We start from the raw sequence: 22572 nt of genomic DNA, 5'->3' as shown, positions 1-22572 counted from the left end.
TATCTTCAAAAGATATAAACAATAAGCCTAACAGGAGAGCAGGGAGAAAAATCCACATTTATTTGTCAATGGCATTTTATTTCCATTATTTCCATTGAATTACTCTATATCTTTTCATATTTTGAATCTGTGTGTTGACAGAGACTAGTGGAAAGAACTATCTGATTGAAAATATGGCATAAGATAAAGAAACAAATTATTCTCATAACAAAGAAATTAAGTAGACATCTCTATATGGTAACTTAGTATATGATGGACTTGCCATTGCAAATTCATGAGGAAAGGATAAACCATGCAATTAGTGGTATGGACACTTCCCATTTGAAAAGAAAATAAGATTCTTCTGTTTATGGTGATACACATCTCAAAGTGCCTGGGACAGTTCTGGTTTACACCTGTGTTCCAGCGTCTTAAACTTAAGGTTCTTCCATTCCCTCTTAAAAGTGTCCAGGTTTGATCAACAAATTATAGATAGATAGATAGATGGATAGATAGATAGATAATTACATATCTAACTATAACAAATCATATATATATGATCACCCTACTTACGTAACACCATGCACAATATAGATTCTACATAGATTCAAATAGCTAAGAACAAAAAACAAAACTCAAAAATTTTATAAGAAAATATAATCAAATATCTTGATGACTTTGAGGTAGAAATGGATTTCTCAAATATGATACATGAAGTCATGGGGTTGACCATAATGGAATAAATAAATAACCTAGAATAAATCAATGACTTAAATCTTTTTGTAAACAAGATACTAAATCAAAGCACAGCTAATATACTGAGAGAAGCCATGTGCAAAGGATTGGTAAACATAAAATATAGTAAATGGTTACAAGTAAATTTTAAAAAGACAATTCAATAAAAAAGGGAAAAAGGATGCTAACACTTTGCAGAAGAAATAATCTGAATGTCCAAGAAACATATGAAGGATGATCATGTACATTACTAATAAGGGAATAGAAAAATTTCTAAAAAGTGTTAACTTTCACCCATCGGAATAGTTAAAATTAGGAAGCCGATCACTTCCAATATTGGCAAGGATGTAGGGGATATGTTGCTATTACATTTGCTGGTAGTATAGCCACTTGGGAGAGCAATTTGGTCATCTAGTAAACCGAATACTCATACAACCAATTGTTATCCAGTAATAGCACGTCTGGGTATATACTCTAAAGAAGCTCTAACACGTATGCAATAGGAGGTTTGTACAAGAAAGTTCAATATAGTCTTATTGGTAAAAGTGAAAACTTGTAAACAATCTAAATGTCCACCAATAGAGGAACTAGTAAGTTGGTGTACTCATGAAATACTTTAAGGTGATTGATTAGGTGTACATAAAACCACATAAATATATCTCAAAATGAATTCTGAATGACAAAAGTAATATGCAAAATAACATTTACATTGTAATATTTCATTTGTAAGCTTACAAAACTGGCAAAATTACCGTGTGTGTGTGTGTGTTATATACAAAAGGTATTTAAAATGTCATGGAAGAATACACACACAATAATTAATTACTGTGATTGTCCCTCGAGAGTTATGTAGGGGACTAGGTCTAGGGATGGTGCTTAAAGAGAAATTTAGCTGTTCCTATAATATTTCTTTCTTAAATTAATGATTGGAAGTAAATATGACACAATGTTAACAGCTGTTAATTTTCAGTGAAAAATATATGTATTTTTGTAGTTTTCTTTATGCTTAAATTTTCACAATTTTAAAAATGATCCAAATGTGGCAAAAGACAATTCAGATTGTTATATTGGGTAAGAAATAGTTTTTCAGGAAGTGCATGTAAAAGTGGGAATTCAACCATCCTGGCCAACATGGTAAAACTCTGTCTCTACTAAAAATACAAAAATTATCTGAGTGTGGTGGTATGCACCTGTAGTCTCAGCTACTTGGGAGGCTGAGGTGGGAGAATCGCTTGAACCTGGGAGGCGGAGGTTGCAGTGAGCTGAGATCGCACTACTGCACTCCAGCCTGGTGACAGCAAGACTCAGTCTCAAAAAAAAAAAAAAAAGTGGGAATTCATTACAAAATGCAAGAGTGGATATAAACATAAAGATACCAAAGGACTGTAACCAAATTAAAGTTCATCAAATCCTTATTCTTGTGAGTTTTAACCCCATGTAACATGAATTATCTCAAAGTTAGTATCATCACTATTTTAAAAAGTCTGAAGAATATATTCTTTCAACACAAAAATGCACTACTTTTAAAATTTTAATAATTTTTTAGGAGGTACCAATATAAAATTAGTTGGCGAATTTTCCTACTATCCACCAAGACTAAATATGTAACTATAGCATATGAGTTTATTTTTCTGATTGAAAAAAGCCATCCCTTACTATCCTGATTCCTGCTGTTTTATTTCAGTCCTTAGTTGCTCAGACACAAAGCATAATCACATTTTTGAAGCAATAATACCATTTATGAAGAAATGGCATAATGTGTTCCTTAGATTGAGTTCATGGCAATAATTTTTATATCTCTTACTCTCAAATCTAGGACACGATTATATTCTTTTATGAAACAGCAGATGTCTTGTTACTAGCCTTTTAATACTAACTCTCCTAGAGGAAGTGGTCTCATAGAATAAAAGACTCCACTTAATACCCTAGCTGGTACAGTTGAATAAAAGTTCCTCAGTGTCCAAGTGAAATTTTAGAGACTGAGTCTAACTGGTGAAACTGGAGAAGTTTAAGATTAGTAAATCCTCTACTTCAAAGGCAAGATTTCAGCTTCAAAAGAAATATTTTTTTTTCAAAAATAAATAATTAGTGCCCTTTCCATAGTTTTTTTCTCTGATAGGGTTTTTAATTTTCACAATGTAGAACTGTTTGCTTGCTTTAGCTAGTGACACTAGTAGAAACATAGTTTTAAAAGTCATTATCAGAGTTTACATTTTGCTGATTATCTTTCACACCCAGTATAGGTTAAAAATCAGGAAGTTACCTTGAGAAGGGCTTATCGCCAAGACTAGGGGAGTAATGTTGGAATCCCATGTAAATCCACAGTCACCTGAACATTTAGCTGGAATTCCATTGACATAGACTTCAACCTTCAAGTAAAGAAACAAGAAGCTACAGAACATGGGCAAAGAGGCAGCAGTAGAATATGAATAGGTTTTAACAAAAGTGATGGAATTTTGTTGGTTTGCTAATTTACTGAAATTAGTCTATATTTTTTGTACTTTGATATTTCATTCATTTTTGCCCTTGGGAAAGTCACCTAATCTCTTTTGACTTTAATTTCTTCATCTTTACAGAGCTGCTGTAAAGATTGAAGGAAAGATTCCTCTATTTTCAAATTCTGGCATAGTAGAGCTAAAAAAATCTACTATTTTATCATAAGGAAGATAATTTTCCCAAAAATCATAAAATAATATTATCAAGTTGATCAATATTAAGACAAATGTTCCCATGAAATACAGAAGTCAAACCTCCTGTTTCACCAGGTCTTTAACATATTACAAACTAGTTATACTATTAAAATTACATTAAGCATCATGAGAAAAGTTTCAAAAATACCTGTGGCTGTTGACTGGGTGTACGAAGTAGGTCTCCAAGTACATGTTGTCTGAATAAGCCACCTTCCTTTATCCTTGTAACTGTCATATTAGCCTTTTCTCCAATAATGTTGGAATCATTAATCTATTTTTACACACAATTATTTTACTAGAAAGGTTATAACAAATATGACGACACTAGTTTTTCATTTTAAATTTCAGCATAGGCAAAGGTGAATAAAAGTCAAAGAATGTAAAATAAAATTCAAAACCATTGTAGTCACTTTTTTTAAATAAAAGGAGCCTCTTCAAAAATGAACATAACCTATCCAAGAAAAAAAATTAAGACCATTGCATTATCATACATTGCATCAATTACAACTTGAATTAAAACAAAAATTAACTTGAATTTTTATAATTAAAAAATAAATCTAAAAATGAATCTACTAAACTTGATTTTCTCAAAATGTCCTATGCTTTTTCTGAATATGATAACTGATAAATTATTCTTAAATAATTGAAAAATTGAGTCATCTTTCTATCTGAGAGTCAACTTTTCCTTGTATCATTTTTTACCTTTACCCTGGTTTTTCACCCAATTTTGGAATTATATGTTCTTCCAATGGTAAAAATAAAGCCAAGTTAAATCAGTATATACAATTTGTTCTTTACAAAATTCCTCTGCAAATATGGCAACCTTCTGATGTATTCAGGGACTAGCAAAGAGATAGGAGTCTCCATGCTGGGCCATGTGTGAGCCAAATGATATGGAACAGAAACAATGAATAAGCAGAAGAGACTGATTAGAAAAGATGGAAGAGAGTAGATGCACAGACACCAGCAGAGACACCAAGGGAGGTCAGTCACTAGACCTATCTTCATTGTGGAGTTCTCTAATTTCAGTTCCCAGCCATGTATTTTTTTTAAAATAACCCCCATATCCTTATGACTATTACTATTTTGCACAACCATACAGACTTGTTTTCTATGTTTACATAGTTGTTTTTGCCCCCACTTCCTTATCTTCTCCACTTCCTCTCCTTCCCCAAATGATTTCATAAGTAGAGTTCTGCATTTTTTTCCACTTTAAGTCACGAATTTCTTTCCAGGTAAATATATGTGGGTCTACACATGGCTGCATGGTGTTCAATGTGAAAGTTACACCAATCCTTCTGCTATTGATGGGGATTTAGGTTTCTAGGTTTTACTTTTACAAATAATGCTGCAGTGACTACCTTTGTGCCTATATCATTTCACATTTATCTTATTATTTCAGTAGAATAGAGTTATATAAGTGATAGTGATGAATCATAAGGTCTCTGTATTAAGATACTACTAAGTTATCTTCCCAAAAGGTTGTCCTAATTTTCATTCTCACCAACATTGCATAGAAGAAACTATTTCCTTGCACTCTCATCATCACCAGAAAGCATTTTTTTTTTTTTTTTTTTTTTTTTTTTTGAGACGGAGTTTTGCTCTTGTTGCCCAGGCTGGAGTGCAATGGCAATGGCACAATCTCGGCTCACTGCAATCTCCGTCTCCCAGGTTCAAGCGATTCTCCTGCCTCAGCCTCCCAAGTAGCTGGGATTACAGGCATGCACTACCACGTCCAGCTAATTTTGTATTTTTAGTAGAAACAGGATTTCACCATGTTGGTCAGGCTCATCTCGAACTCCTGTGATCCACCTGCCTCAGCCTCCCAAAATGCTGGGATTACAGGCATGAGCCACTGTGCCTGGCTGAAAGCATCATCTTTTTAATGTTTGACAATCTGAGTCCCTAGACTCCTCTCCTTCACATACTCTGGGCCTGACTCCTTTCCCCCATTCTCTTCTTCCTTCTAACTAAAGAAAGGTAATTAGATGACAGCCTAAGGTGTTACTCCCTTATGAACTTGGAAAAAATCATCTTTATAACCACAAAAGTATCCAAGGCCCCAAAATACAGCTCTCGTGGTAGAATGATAGTGAGGCTGATTCTCTTTGGGACCCCCTTAGCATACATCTGGATTTAGTTCGGTTTAGTTCTGAGACCGGTCCTGACTGCGCTCCACCTGCCCCTGTCAAGGGGATTCTAACACACATATTTCTGGACTTTTTCTAAGTGGGATATGGAGTAAAGTACCAACAGCTATTCTCCATGAAAGAGAACACTGGATCAGCTTAATTTAGAAAAAAACCTTCTCCTTAACTTCCTTTTAAAGAAATTTTAGTTTATGGTTTGAATTTTTATAATAAACATAGCCTCCAGTTCTTTTTGGAATAAGGCAGGGTCCAAATAAGCAAACAGCACATAGAAGAAAAGAGAAGCCAAGCCAAATGAGGGAACCTGTAGAAGATTCTGCTTTCCGCAGGTGCTTCTCCATTTGATGTTCCACGCGTAGCCAGCACAGGTTCCCTCTCGTGTAACTGAGATTCTTCCCATTCCCTCCAGACTCTGGAGTGCAAACTGCAGATCTGCAGCTGACACAGCAGCGGGGAGGCCTGCACTCACAGAGGGGTGGCAAACAGCAGGAGTCACAATTCACAAACGGGCCGGATGTGGTGGTTCACGCCTGTAATCTTAGCACTTTGGGAGGCCAAAGCGGGCGGGTCACCTGAGGTCAGGCGTTTGAGATCAGCCTGGCCAACATGGTAAAACCCCGTCTCTACTAAAAATACAAAAATTAGCTGGGCATGGTGGTGCGTGCCTGTAATCCCAGCTACTCGGGAGGCTGAGGCAGGAGAACCACTTGAACCCGGAAGGCGGAGGTTGTAGTGTCCAAGATCGTGCCACTGCACTAAAGCCTTGGTGACAGCGAGACTCCGTCTCAAAAAAAAATTAATAATAAAATAAAATATATTCACAAACCAATTTCATCTTTAAAGCACATGAAATGTGTACTATGTATTATCACTTGCAAACTCTATGTCCCCCTCCAATGTAGTAAAAATAAAATTTGCATTCTACTTCTGCCAAGAATTTATATATTTCCTGGAAATAAAATATATGCAATTTTATCAATTTCAAAATAATAATAAATAATTATTTTTAAAAATTATATGAGTAATGTACCTCATACTGTGGCCTTGGACCAAATATTTTTAATATCAATTCACAAATATCAAATATCAGTCGATATTTTCATATCAATTCATTTTGATATTAAAAATAAAATCCTTTTAGTGTCAGAATATATTGAGTGTTAAAATGATCTTTTAATATAGAAATACTTTTATTTTTAAAATCGATTTTGATTAAATTAATAACAATGTTAATTTGTAATGTCTTTGAAAATACTGATAACCTATAAGTCATGAATATAAAAGAGAAACAAACATTTGAGAATGTCACCAGTGTAGTGGATAAAGCAGTGACAAAAACATAAAAATGTCACTTGCCCTGAATAGTTTAGCTTCATATTACTGACATACTCTCAATTATGTAAATTATAAGAGAAATACTACTAAAAAGGAGTACACCAAAATGTTTATTATAGTTGTCTAGATTAGTCCCGTACAACTGATAAATAATGTGAACCAGATACATAATTGTATATTTTCTGGTAGCTATATTTTAGAAAGAAAACAAAACCAGGTAAAATATTTTAATAGTAATAAATTGCATATAATCCCTTATATTCAAATGTTATATTTTGACATGTGGCACTAGTCACATTTTAAGTGCTCAGTAGCCACATATGACTCATGGCTACCATATTGAATAGCACAGACTTAGATAATTCAATTATAGATGACTTTTAAAATCATATTCCAATTCTCAATTTTTCTATTTTAATATTATTGTTATTGTTTATGGCTACCACAGTAGGTAATGAATGCTTATTTTTTAAAATGCATGTATTATAGAAAGTTTTGACTTATGAAAGTCATAATTTCAACTGCCTTTAAAAAATGGCTATAAAAAATTGTTATAAATTTTTGCAGACTTTTAAAAATATTATTTTTAAGGGAAAACAATCAAAATAAATAATGTTAGCTTTGGATGGGTGAAGTATTTCCTAATCTATTAAAAAGAAGGATTTGAAACACCTTTATGATTGGCTATTAATTGACCCTAATATGGTATATATTAATATATATGCATGTGTGACTTTAATATATCACATATTTACTTATATATCAAATAAATAATTAATATATTTGTATGTATCAATAAGTAGTAATTCTCAAGTTAAACAAAATTTAACACTTTATAAGGTTATACATATGTGTGTGCGTATACACCAATATTTTAAATTTTTTTCATATACCTTTAAGAATATGTCCATAAGCTTGAATGTCAAAGCTGCCACTTAGAGGTGGAGATGCAGCTTGAATTCTTTGAATATGAATTTTTGACTCGCCTGGCCAATTATTTCCTCTGTAGACAAACTCGTTCTCTGTCTCATGTGTGATTATCTAATTTCCAAAATAAATATTGATAAAATGATTAAACTTAACAATGGCTTACATGATTTCTATTTCATCATGGTACAATCCTGTGACATGACATAAATGAGCCTCATGTATTCAGGATTCTTCAGAACATTAAGGAGTGTCACATAAATCAACACAGGCCATACCTATATGGCTGCAATAATGAGGCCAAAGTCAACTCATTCATCTGTGCAGCAATCAGCTGGAACTGCAGTAATACCTCATTAATTCAGAATGCACCCTCCATCACTCAAGGAACAAATATTTATTGAGCAGGCACTCTGTTCAAGGTACAGTGCTAATCACTGCAGAGAGGCAAAGGAGCATGAGATGTGGTCTTGGCTATTAAAAAACTAAAATGATTTTTTAAAAAATAGTACATGGAGTCTTGAAAAGTTAACCAACAATTTAAGAAAATTTATGATTTATACAGTGGCTGACCCAGGCTAAAAAAAAAAATACTTGTTTAATGTTCAGTGCTAATCAATTGACAGAAGCAGCAAATGCTGTAGAAATTCATAGATTGTAACCCCAATAATGAAAATTATATTCTCCTGTTGATGATACCTTATAGTTATCTGTTACTACTGTAAAATTTAAAATGATAAGCCTTCTAGACCACAGAATGAATAAACATTAGTGCTAAAAGACATAAGCAAGAATGTTCCTAGCAGCTATATTCATAATAGCCTCAACCTGGAAATAATGCAAAAGTTGTTCAATAGAATGGATAAATTATGGTATATTTATACTATGGAAAAATGTACAGCAATCAAAGAGAATGAAACTACAGTATATGCAATGTGAATCTCACAAAATTGAATGAAAGAAGCTAGATTCAAAGGAGTACACACAGTATGATTTTATTGATATGAAGTTTAAGAACAATCGAAAATAATTCAGGGTAGTAGATGTCAAAAGAGTGGTTATTGGGGTGAGGAGTGAGTTTAAGAAAGAAGAGCGGTTCAAGGAAGGTACTTGGGGAGCTAATGATTATCTTCATTTGGGTGTGATTACATGAGTGTATCTACTTTGTAAAAATGTGTTGAATTCAGTAGGTTATAAGATACAAGATAAAGACACAAAAATCAATTACATTTCTATATACAAATAACGAGCATGTGGAAATCGAATTTAAAAACACAAGACCATTTACAACTGCTCGAAGAAAATGAAACACGTTTATAAATCTCACAAAACATGTACTAGACCTGAACTGAAAATTGCAAAATGCCGATAAATGTAATAAATGAAGATCTAAATATGCTGGTAAAGCACGAAGAGGACAAATAATTGGAGAGACATACTGTGTTCATGGATTGGAAGACTCAATATCACAATGGTGTCAATTCTCTCCAAAACAGTCTATAGATTTAATGTAATTATTGTCAAAATACCAGCAAGGTTTTTTTGTAGACATAAATAATCTTATTTTAAAATTTATATGGGAAGGCACAGGACCTAGAATAGCTAAAACAATTTTGCACAAGAAAAATAAAGTAAGAAGAATCACTCTACTCAATGTTAAGTCTAACTATTCAGATACAATAGTCAAGAATGTGTGGTATTGGTGGAAGGACTGACACATAGACCAATGGAAAGAATAGAAAACTCAGAAATATGCCCACACAAATATGATTTTTGACAAAGGTTCCAATGTAATTAAATGGAAGAAAGATAGCCTTTTCAATAATGTTGCTGAAACAATTGGAGGCATAGGCAAACAAATGAACCTCAACGAAAAATCACATCTTACATGTAAAAATTAACACAAAATGGATCATGCCCTTAAATATAAAATGTAAATCTGTAGGATTTTTAGAAAAAGAAAAATCCTCAGGACCTAGAGCTAAGTAAGTTCTTAGACTTGAAACCAAAAGCACCGTTCAAAAAAGAAAAAAAAAAGTGATAAATTTGGCCTCATAAAATTTTTAAAACTTTGTTCTGTCAAAGACCTTATGAAGAAGATGAAAAGGTGAGGTACAGTCTGGGAGAAAATATTTGCAAACCATATATCTGACAAAAGAATTATACCTAGACATTTCACAGTAGAAGATATGTAGGTGGCAAATAAGTTCATAAAAAGATGTTCAACATCATTAGCCATTAGGAAATATCAATTAAAATGAAAATGAACCATCGTTACACACCCTACCAGAACGCCTAAAATTAAAAATAGTGACATCACCAAACACTGGCAAGATTGTGCAGAAACTGGATCGTACACTGCTGGTGGGAATCTAAAATGGTACAACCACTTCAGAAAAAAAATATGGTAGTTTCTTTAAAAACTATACATGTTCTTACCATACAACCCTATAATTGCACTGTTGGGAATTTAACCGAGAAAAAATGGAAACTTATGTCTCACAAAAGCCTACAGATGAATGTTCATAGCGGTTTAATTCATAATAGCCAAAACCAAGAAACAACTCAAATGTCCTTCAACGGGTGAGTAAACAAACTGGTACATCCATAACAGTAAATATACTCAGCAATTAAAATGAATAAATCGATCAACACAATTTGAATGGATCTCAAGGGAATTATGCTGAGTTAAAAAAATGCCAGTATACAAAAGCTATGTATTTGTGTGATTATATGACATCTGATTCCATTTTTGTAGCATTCTTGAAACGACAAAATTATTGAGAGAATGAATTTGTGGTTGCCATATATAAGTGAGTGCAGGAGGAATGGAACGAGGGAGATGGCTGTGACAGCATGGCTACAAAAAGGTAGCACAAGAGACGCTCGTAATAGAACTGTTCTGGTGGTGGTCAGATGAATCTACACCTATGATAAAATTGTGTAAGAACTACACAAACACGCACACACACACACACAACCCTGGAAAAATCTGAATAAGGTCAGTGGATTTTATCATGTCAATTTCCTGGTTATGATATTATGCTATATTATACAAAAAAATTATCATTGGGGGAAAATGGGTAAAGGATATAAAAATAGTTCTGTGCTATTTCTTACAACTGCATGTGAATCTACAATTATGTCAAAGTTAAAGTTCTTAAAACAATTTATTGATCTATACATTTAACATATGTGCATATTATTTATTACATGTACCTATCACTTGAATTTTTTTAAAAGGTCACAAAAATCTAAGTCCTGTATTCTTCAGTGTAAACTTTGATGAATAATTAAAGATAGAGGTTACAGTTACCAATTAGTTTATTGAGGAATCTTGAAAAATGGGAGAATTTTGACACAGATGCTTTGAGAATACAGAGCCTTGAATTAGTTATTATATTTTCTTTTTTTTGAGACAGAGTCTCGCTCTGTCGCCGAGGCTGAAGTGCAGTGGCGCGATCTCCGCTCACTGCAAGCTCCGCCTCCCGGGTTCACGCCATTCTCCTGCCTCAGCCTCGGAAGGAGCTGGGACTACAGGCCCCCGCCACCACGCCCGGCTAATTTTTTTGTATTTTTTAGTGGAGATGGGGTTTCACCATGTTAGCCCGGATGGTCTCGATCTTCTGACCTCATGATCCGCCCGTCTCGGCCTCCCAAAGTGCTGGTATTATAGGCGTGAGCCACCGCGCCCGGCCAGTTATTATATTTTCTAATAGAGCTAAGAGTAAAGCACTGAAAAGCATTTGTAAGATGCTAATCTGGAAGATATTAAGACTAAAACATTGGGCCAGGATGGGATAAAGGCAATTTTTTTGGAGTTTTTATAATTTTTCAGTAATTTTAATCATAAAATTGTTTACTTTGCAAAAATTTTCTGTGAGGCTCTAATCCAATTACAATGGTTAATGATTATTTAATCTTTAATCTTGAGCTTATTATACTTGTTTTTGGTTTGTGGTAGGAAATTATATTAACTCATTGAATATTTTTATAGAAATTTAATTTTAAATTTTTCATTATATTTGTAATATTTAATATTAATCTTATTACAAATGTACAAAAAATTGTTCAGGTCCTTCTGGAATTATGAAAAACCACTTCTTTCTTCCCTTGTATAAATTTTCATACAAGCAAAAATAAATGGTGTTTATAACAAAACAATTAAAAAGCATAATGCAGAATCTCAATTTTTCTCTCAATAATATCTGTTTCAGGATGTTTATTGGAAGAGACCATAATTTTTTCTTTTACGTCCACAGAGAAAACTCTACTTAAATATGACTTTGTTTTTTAAGGATATTTCTCCCTGTTTTCCTTCCCATAGACATATTTCTGTAAGAATTTTTTTAATACTTAAAGTCAATTTTCATACTCCAAATCTTCATATAACCTTAGAATAGTTAGCTGTCTTTTCCTGTTAAAATATTCCATCTGTATGTTGGTTATTTAAAAAAATTAAAAATAAAATTCACTACATAAAAATTAATGCAAAATTCTAGGCTTACCTGCCCAAAGCTCACAGCCATCATGGGTATATTGTAACTGCAATTGTATGAAGTCATGGTAACAGAATATTGGTTTGTCATAGTTGGCCCATTTGTTTTGGTCTGATTCACCTGAAAGTGCTCTAAGAATATTCCTTTATTTGCTAATGCAGGAAGTCTTCTCTTGGGCATTTCTAAAGAATATAAATAAAAATATTAGGTTGGTGTAAAAGTAACTGTGGTTTTTGCCATGTAAAATTAACCTAATAGAGGAGATAAAATTGCATTGCTTCTGTTGCTAAAAATAAAATCATCAAATAATATCAACATTGTCATGAAGTATTTAAAATCAAGTATTAGAAAGAAGACCTGAAGGCAAGTAGTTTATGAAGCTTGCTAAACTTTCACTTTTATATTATGAAGCTCTATGTCTTTTGACATATGAACCCTATCAAGTAAAAACCAAATATTTAAAGGCCACCAATCCCTGGGTTTCCTGCAGCCTTCTGTGGTTAGTTAGCTTTGTTCTGTTCTACATCCCCCAAATGTGGTGCTCACTAGGATGTGTGCTTCATGAGGGCAGGACAAAGATTGTCATCTTCATTGCTCTTTTCTTAGTACTTGACACAATGCCTGACACATAGTAGGTTCTAAGTGAATATCATTTAATGAACGACAATATTTATCCCAGCACAATCCATCTGTCTTATACATGTTCTACCAATCATAATGTAAGTCTGGTGACAGCAGATTCAAAAGGAGTGACAATGAAGTAGTAGCATTTACATTAAAAAAAAAAATCAGTTAACTCACCACCTTGCACTTGAAAGCAGTTCCAAAGAAAAGGATTCTAATGTTCCTCTCAAAAATGGGAAAAGTCACTTTTAAGGTGACTGTTTGGAGTTAGGTTAATTTTTTAAAAGATCGTGGAGTTTAATTTTTATTATTATTACATCTAATAAATGTCATGTCTATTAACATGACTAGAAACACAATGCTAACACTATTGAAATGAAGGTTTCATTTGTAGTATTATTAATTATCACTCTTAAGTCTATGGAAAGTTTCAAGTCGATCTTAGTAGACAGATGTCAATGTCAGTAGTTGCATTTTGGGAATAGATCTCTCTCATGGTAGTTGGTTTCTCAAAAATAAAACAAAGCAAAAAGAAAATGTTTGACATAGTGTATTTATCCATAAACAAAATCCTGGACTATAAAGCAAATTCTTGCTATTGTGAGAAAGTTTTCATTAAGGATTCATTTATCCTTGGAATAATCACTTTGCACTATTCATTACAAAATAAAATCATAATATTATTCAGATAAAAGAGTGACTCATTAATATTTAGATATTAATGTTTCTATCCATACTGCAGAATATAAAAATAATTTCCATGGTAAGATTTTACTATATTTAGATTAAAGCAGAGATAAAATGATACAACATACCATCCAATGTTGAGATTGTAGATGTGTGTCCAATGTACACTACATCCACATAGAAGGACTGTGATTCTGATGCTTTATGTAAGCTAATCCTCTGAAGAGAAACATTTGTCCCAGTGTATTTCGTTCTTACGAGATCCAGAAGGTCTATGCAAGTGTAAGTCCAGCTGAAATACGGTTGATTAATTTGTTGTATAGATCAGTGGTAATGTTTAAGCAAATACACTTTAGAAAGCATTAAAATTTTATAGAGTAAAATATTTTTTCCCACAAGACGACCATCAGGGGAGCTTTATTAGCACAGAAAAGCAGCCGTAACAAGGCACAGCAGGCAGAAACTTACATTGGCAGTAAAAGATTTAGCATTGTATACAAATATAGGCTTTCTTTTATTTGTAGCCTTGGCAGTAGCCATAGGAATGTAAAATAACATTCTGTAACAACAAGTAAGGAAACTAAGAAGCACAGGCATTTGTGTAGAGCATATTAACAAAACAAGACACAAGAATGGAGTCAACAATTTTTGTGAACAATACCAGGCATAGAACAGTAAGTTCAGTCCGCTGCTAAGAAGCAAAACTGGAACTTTATAACTCTTCCAGGGAAGTTCCCTGGAGCAGCATTGTCCATTGTTCTAAGTGCTAGAAGGGTGTTATTTGTAGATATAAATGGTTGCACAGTACCTTTTAAATGTATAACTCAGATTCAGATTTTCCATTAAATCATAACTGCATTGGAATCCCATAAATTACAGTTAAGCATTAAAGCTATAAGAGTTTGTAACACATATATAAGTATTTCCATTCAAATAATTAAATATAGTTTAACAATAATCTTTCATCAGCTACCACTGTAGTTATTAACTGACTAGTTTGTTTGGGTACCTTACAGTCCCATTTTCTTCAGGGTTCATAAACTCATCATGGGATCCACCTCTAGCTCATCAAAGATTAGACTACACATATCAGTTTTAGCAAATTGTATGCAAACGACATTAAGTTAAGGTGCTCTTTAAATTAAAAAAAAAAGTACTTAGGGCCTCAGCGTAGAACTGTACAACTGATTATGCAATTCTAAAATTTTAAAAACCACAACTTAGAAAATTTGGCATACTGAACAGGACCTTTTATAAGGGAAAAGGAGACTGAAAATGATATCAAAACTGAACTGTACACTGTGCCTTTGTGATTAAATAATTCCATTTTTTGAAGAGAAAGGCAGCCTGTTTTTAGATTTTAAAACTTGATTTACAACTACAAACCACTTTTTGGAAGGTTGTAGAACAATTTTGGGGGATGGGAAATGGCACTTTTAACACTAACAGTGTACTGAAAATAACAAATACTAATACATCTACTTGATCCAGGTGGACTGTCTGACCTATATTAAAGCAGATCTAGAAATATTTGTTAGAGACCAGGTGCAGTGGCTCACGCCTGTAATCCCAGAGCTTTGGGAGGCCGAAGTGGGTGGATCACGAGGTCAGGAGCTCGAGACCAGCCTGACCAATATGGTGAAACCCCATCTCTAACTAAAAATACAAAAAATTAGCTGGGCGGGGTGGCACGCGCCTGTAATCCCAGCTACTCAGGAGGCCGAGGCAGAGGCAGGAGAATTGCTTGAACCTGGGAGGTGGAGGTTGCAGTGAGCTGAGATCACACCACTGCACTCCAACCTTGGCAACAGAGTGAGACTCCATCTCAAAAGAAAAAAAGAAATACCTGTTAGAAGCGGATAAATTTTGTCTTGACTGGTAATATCAAGGGAACGCTGTTATTTTTAACAATCATGATATTCTTGTTTAAAGGTCTTGCAACATTTAGGGTAAAGAAAATCCATGAACTCCATCAAATGTAATACATCTTGAAATTAGTGCACAGTAGATACATTTTTTAATTTTTAAAAAATTTTTAGTTTTTTTTTGTGGATACATATTAGGTGTATATATTTGTGGGGTACATGAGATGTTTTGATACAGCCATGCAATGCATAATAATCATATCATGTAAAATGGGGTATCCATCCCCTCAAGCCTTTATCATTTGTGTTATAAACAATCAAATTATATTTTAATTGTTTTTAAATGTACTATTAAATTATTATTGACTTTAGCCACCCTGTTGTGCTATCAAATACTAGGTCTTATTCATTCTTTCTAGCTATTTTTTGTACCCATTAACCATCCCCACATCCCTTCAGCCATCCCAAATTATAGGCTAAAAAGAGAACTATTTAATGATATGGTAAGTGATGACTTGATTGATACAGAAGAACAAGGATCAATAAAATGTTCCAAAATCCTGTGGCAGTGGAGGAGTTCATAGCATAAGGGCGATAGGCATCAAAAGTAAAATTGTTATTTCACTGTTTAATTCAATCATTCCTTCCTGTTGAAAATGTACCTCAGATGTCCCTTTGAGAAGGATTTCTGCTTCATAAAGATGGACTGTAGCAAATTGGGCATGAAGCAGTGGTATATAATCATTCTGTTTATGGACTTTTCATGCTCCTTGCCACCTAACAGAGGCAGGGCTGGCTCGACTTCTGGTATTGCATCTGCCTATGTGACTACCAACAAAGGATGTCCCCTTCTGAGTCAATAATTCCTCTGTGGAATGGTAGCATTCTCCCCACTCATTTCATTCATTCCAGGAGCTAGCTTCAGTCCCATTTTATACATAGGATTGAACTATGTAATGGCCTCAAAGGCATATATTTGTGCACTGGGGGATGCAACATGTTTTTCAATACTAATATATCTCTCTCAACACAGATAAATGGAAATATATTCAGTGTTCATGGATTGGAAGAATTGATATTGTTAATTATTAAAATCATATGGTTCTGTGCAAACACCATCCACAGCATGTATAGATTTCAGGCATTTTTCTCTCTCTCTTCTTTGAAGTCCACTTCAAGTTCTACCACACTTCAGTATCTAATGAACTTTGTGTAAACAAGAATTTCTCTTTCTTTACATTCTGTGGAAACATGTGTAGATATTATACTTGGGACAAGACATCAATCATTATCTTTTTAATGCTTATTTCAAGAACCTAAGGAATATATGAAGCATGACTTTTGTGTTTCCTGAAGAATCCTTTGAAAAGCTTAACGCCCTTATTAAAGTTTTTCCCTCTGACAAACACCTGTTGGACTGTGGACTCCTACCTCATGACTAAAGAGATACTGACACCTGTATTTAAACTTGGTCTACAGTTGCCCTCACTTTATCCATTGATTGATCAGAGTATTTGAAGAGAATTAGGTCCATATGCTCAGGATCTGATGCCAGAGATATATACTTCAAATATGATGTTGATGTTTTATATTAAAAACGGAAGACTATGATTTCCTACACACACACACACACACACACACACACACACACACACACACCCCTTTTTTTTTTTTTTAAGACAAGGTCTCATTCTGTCACCCAGGCTGGAGTGCAGTGTCACAATCTTGGCTCACTGCAGCCTGGATCTCCCGGACTCAAGCAATCCTCCACTTCAGCCTCCTGAGTACCTGGGACCACAGGTGTGCACCACCATGCCCAGCTAATTTTTGTATTTTTTGTAGAGATGGTTGCCATGTTGCCCAGCCCCCTCCTTTTTTTAAATTAAGATCATTCCAGTTCCACAGGAAGGATAACTCTGATATGCTCCCACCCACCTGCCTGGTCCCATCTTTTGTCACCTTTCTGCCACTGTCCCAGTGAACACAACTGATTTCCTCCTGGTAGAGTCCGGGGACCTAGCTTTGCTGGAGCACCTCCAGGTCTACACCCTGGCTGTTTCCCACTTCATACTTCTTGTCCTCTAAAAGATAGTTCTTAAAACTTTTAACAAACAAGGTTTCCTTTCCCGTCCAACATATGTCAACAATTTTTAGAGTATATGAATTTCTAAAGTTATGAATTGGGAACTGGCTGATGCATTTTGAAAATAGTGTTGGGGGCCAGGCATGGTGTCTCATGCCTGTAATCCCAGGACTTTGGGAGGGAGGCCTAGGCAGGAGGATTGCTTGAGCCTAGGAGTTCAAGACCAGCTGTGGCAACATGGCAAGACCCAATCTCTACAAAAACAAAAAAATTAGCTGGGCGTGGTAGTGCACACCTGCAGTCCCAGCTACTTGTGGGGGGAGGCTGGGGTGGGAGGATCACTTGAGCCCAGAAGGTGAAGGCTGCAGTGAACTGTGATGGTCCCACAGCACTCCAGCCACGGTGACAGAATCAGACCCTGTCTCAAAAATAATAATAATAATAATAATAATAATAATAATAATAATAATAATAATAATGTTGGGATGATGTAGAAAACAGGACAATTGAAATTGCAGATTTGAGCAGCAGCTTTTGCATCAAGAAACTTATTCTTCCATCAAGACTGCCATTTCTTCCCATCTAACTACTCTACTCTCCATTAACATCTTGCCTGTTTTTATTTCTTGTCTTTGTTTTGTTTATTGTCAACATTTGGTTCTATTTCCAACTTTGGATCATTTTCTCACTCTCTCTGTCTGGGTGTCAAGAGGAGAAGCTGGTTCTCCCTCGTGCTTGTTCCACACATGAAAGTTCTGAGTTACAGAGTTCTATTCTACGATGGGAAGAAAATAGTGCTCTCCATGTCTTATTATAATAGAATAATGCTCTCCATATCTTATAAAATGATGGAAACTTACATGGCATGTATTAAAGTATCATATAAACTGTATAGACCCATATAAAATAAAAATTGTGATGTAGCTATAACAGAAGAAAAAGCAAAAAAAAAAGGAATATTTTCAAGATATGGAGATCCCACCATGGTTATTTTTATGAGAAAAACTTTATATGAAAGAAAAACTTCTACAATTGTAGAGAGAAAATGTTCTATGTCTTCAGCGGAGTGATGGTTACGTGACTGTATACATGTGTTAAAACTCACTAAACTGTGCACTTAAAAAGAGTGAATTTTACTTTATGTAAATTATACTTTAATAAACAACAACAATGTATGGGGAGTACTGTATAAAATAGAAAGGTATGTGTCTCTGTGTATGTCTTCACTATTGCTTCTGTTGTAAATGAAATACCATAAATGAAATTTTTGTATGTACTGTGTATGAAAATGCAGTCACAACTGACATAAATTTCAGAAGATATAAAAATTAATAAAACCCAAAAAATAATTATATAGAACTAAATTGTGTTTAAAGGCATGACAGCTGTAGTCATTAAATAGCTTCTCTAGGTTTATTTTGTTTCTTCCTTTATGTTTCTCTATTTGCATTTCTTTGTGCCTAACTTTTGGCACAGCAAGCATTATTTCAAAATCTCTCTACTTCCTTTTTTTTCAGTGATCAAACTATAATGACTATATTGTGATAAGCCTGTCTCTTTCTACCTTCCAGCATAACTAGGAACATTATTAGATTTAGTAATACATAATTTAAATTCTAAAGTTTACCATTGTTTTGTCTTTTTATGGTTATGGGTGACTATGTCATGACCAATTGTCATTTTCATAATCTAGAGATTTCTTTAAAACATGACTATTTCTGTTGGATGTACATGTGTAAGATAGGAAAACTGCCATTTACATCCATTGTGTGCATTATTTGCCCTCATCTCCCCAAACAGACCAAAACAAAAAACCCCAAGAAATGGATTTGTCTTATCTTTGTAGTTTATATACCATGGTATAATGTAATTTTCAAATTCATAGCGTAACTTACTTGTTTCCATAAGCAAAGTTGTATGTAAACTGTGTATCAGTGCTTCTAGTAATCTTGCTATTGTCTTGGTACTGAAATTTTAGACCAATATAATTTGCCAGGAATCCTTTGTATGCTAAACATAACTACATAAAAATATGAAAAACATTGGTAACAATATATTACCATTACATTGTTTCACAACAATTCAAATAAATTCAAAGTCAATAAATATTTATTGAGCATTTTCTACATAAAACGTACCAGAACACAGAGAAATAAATGATTAATTTCAGCCAGTTATGTGCAGAAGAATTGCGAAAGATTTTACAGACAAAGTGAGGTTGAGGTGACCTTACAATTAATTATAATTCTCTATTTCTTTTTAGGTATAGTTTCCTTTAAAACTGGAAACAATTCACTCTCTGTAGAGATGAGTTATGTACTAACTCTAAGCTACTCAGTAAATTTAAAAGTCCAATGCACATAGAAAAGAAGAGAGGTAAACATTCAGGCAGATTAAATGGGACGTAAATATCATTGAACATTTAGAGAGAGAGATGAATGTCACTGTAAAATAGTAATTAAATACCAATTTTAATGGTCCCCAAGTCCTTAAGCATGCCAAATATATTAAGAACTTTGAATTTTAGGATAGGTGCCACAATTTGAGAATTTTAAAATAAGAGAAAGGGTGAATCTATGATTAACAGTGTTAAATACCCTCACTAAAACTGCCATCTCCTCTGCTCCTAATTTTGTTTCACTTCTCCCTGACTGGATATCCAAGATCATCCTATGATGGCTAGCCATTTTTCTTTCTTCTTAATTAATGAAGAAAAATGAAGAAGCTTATACATTTTTAATTATTTTAGTATTTAAACTTGTGTGCAAATATTTTTTTCTGAAATTAAAAGAGAAATATAATACATGATATATGGTGCTATATACATATATATATAGAATATATCTATTATTTTGAGAATCCTCAGAAGAGGAAACCACAAGCACCCAGAATGTACACTTCGGTGCCTGTTACAATATGACATACTATTTATATGGCAAATATTTTTTCTTGTCTTAAAATTTCATGAAATTTTATTACCAAGGTATTTTCCAGATTCAATTAGCATATCATTTTGTTGAGCTTACCTGATTATAAGGAAACAATAAAATATCTCCATATGGTCGTCTGTTTGGTTTAACATCTGCTGAGTCAAAAAGAACAGCTGGGTTTTTCAGGGAATAACGACCACAGTAAGCATCGGTTTCAGCTGTCTTCTGCCCTCTGTTAATATGTTCCTACCGAAACAATAATATTTCAAATGAAAACATGATTTATTGTTCTGGTTTTCCCCCAACGTGTGCACCCAAACCACTCAAGGTTCAACCCAGATCCCATTGTTTCCCTGATTACTTTAACTTTAGATGTTTTCTTCCTTGTCTGAAATCTAAAGCTCTCATTCGGATCCATAATTATATAATCCTTTATACCAGTATTTGACTAGTTCCCAAGTTTGATTTTTTTCCTTACTTTGTGAGCTCTTTACGGGTATTTATTCATTCTCTCCATGAGTGTTTATGCAGTGTTTACTGTGTGTCAGGTTTCTGCTTGTTTGCGTGTTTGCTGTTTAATCTTCAGGATTCAAGTGGTGAAGAACCCTATCCCCCTGTAGATAGAGGCCACCCGTCTAAGACAAAGAAGCCAATGATTATCGTACTAAGGCTCAAGGGAGGCATCTAACTCACATAAAAGCATCAAGAAAGATGACTCAGGGGAAGTGACAAATGAGTTAAGTCTTTAAAGATAAATAGCAGCTGTTGGAATGGAAAAGAGGTGTCAAAGGCACTGTGCAAATGGTAAAAAGAAAGTAGGGGCTTCAGAGAGAGTCCAAAATGTGTGCAAAAAAGCAGAGGTGTGAGAGAGCATGGTGCTGGGAATGCAAACTGTAAGGTTAGGTGCAGCATGGAAATGCATGTGAGGGTGGTGATGAGAAATGAAGTAGGAAAGGAGTAGGAGGTAAATTACATGTACCATCCTCATGGCTGCTAGTACTACGTTCAAAATAGAACATAAATACACATATGCTTATTAAATGAAGTTGAAAAGTTCATCTATTAAATGGAAAGATTTTTTCTCACTAATCTGCTCATGAAAAGTATCATGAGAGATATTTTTAAGGATTTATATTCATATCCAGGGTATTAATCTGAATTAAATAACTAGAGTATACATTTTTTATTCTTACAGTTTTTCACTTGGAAATAGCAAATAGCTGGCTTCCTGAAGTCTTGAAAATGAGAATTAGAAAGCACATATTCAATTTTCTTCCTTTACTCTATATTAAAGAAAATATCTCATTAAGAAATAAATAATGACTGGGCCGTGTACTAATTAACCAGAGTGTTATGTCGAGAAGCAATTATATAAAACTACATAATACATAAAAACATATAATGCCCCACCATAAATTATAATCTCTGAAGTCAATGAGGAGAAAGGATATACTGTGCATCCAAGCTAAGAAAACAAAAACCAAGGCCGGGTGCGGTGGCTCAAGTCTGTAATCCCAGCACTTTGGGAGGCCAAGACGTGCGGATCACGAGGTCAAGAGATCGAGACCATCCTGGCCAACATTGTGAAACCCCGTCTCTACTAAAAATACAAAAATTAGCCAGGCATGGTGGCGCAAGCCTGTAGTCCAAGCTACTCGGGAGACTGAGGCAGGAAAATTGCTTGAACTTGGGAGGTGGAGGTTGCAGTGAGCCAAGATCGTGCCACTGCACTCCAGCCTGGAGACAGAGTGAGACTCCGTCTCAAAAAAAAAAAAAAAAAAAAAGAAAAAGAAAAGAAAAGAAAAAAGAAAATACCAACAAAATTACATGATTTTGGATCTGCGTCCCCACCAAATCGCATGTTGAATTGTAATCCCCAAAGTGTGAGGTAGGGCCTGTTGGTAGGTGATTTGATCACGGGGGTGGATTTCTCATGAATGGCTTAGCACCATCCCATCGGTGCTGTTCTCATGATAGTGAGTGAGTTTTCACAAGGTCTGGTTGTTTAAAAGTGGGTGGCACCGCCCCACTCTCTTCTCTTGCTCTTCACCAAGCCAAGTGACGTGCC

General features: G+C 34.3%; 1 protein-coding gene and 1 pseudogene across 6 annotated transcripts in view; both read right to left on the bottom strand.

The window, feature by feature from the left end:
- The window catches only part of PKHD1L1 (PKHD1 like 1), a 174747-nt gene that overhangs the window by 104193 nt on the left and 47982 nt on the right, over positions 1–22572 (bottom strand). For 4 of the 6 annotated variants that reach the window (NM_177531.6, XM_011517371.3, XM_017013971.2 and 1 more), the window contains 8 exons: positions 20601–20750; positions 19470–19594; positions 13755–13918; positions 12325–12497; positions 7783–7930; positions 5859–6013; positions 3553–3675; positions 2978–3083 (listed from right to left, as the gene is read on the bottom strand). In NM_177531.6, the coding sequence (NP_803875.2) occupies positions 2978–3083; positions 3553–3675; positions 5859–6013; positions 7783–7930; positions 12325–12497; positions 13755–13918; positions 19470–19594; positions 20601–20750 (1144 nt within the window). Of the gene's footprint in view, positions 1–2977; positions 3084–3552; positions 3676–5858; positions 6014–7782; positions 7931–12324; positions 12498–13754; positions 13919–19469; positions 19595–20600; positions 20751–22572 lie in introns of those variants that run through there. The other 2 variants (XM_047422421.1, XM_047422422.1) reach the window with 2 other exon arrangements.
- Positions 15961–16989, bottom strand: LOC100420748 (suppressor of cytokine signaling 5 pseudogene; annotated as a pseudogene).

The sequence above is a fragment of the Homo sapiens genome, chromosome 8, assembly GCF_000001405.40.
Source record: "Homo sapiens chromosome 8, GRCh38.p14 Primary Assembly".
Lineage (NCBI taxonomy): Eukaryota > Metazoa > Chordata > Mammalia > Primates > Hominidae > Homo > Homo sapiens.
This window is presented reverse-complemented; position numbering and strand designations above follow the sequence as displayed.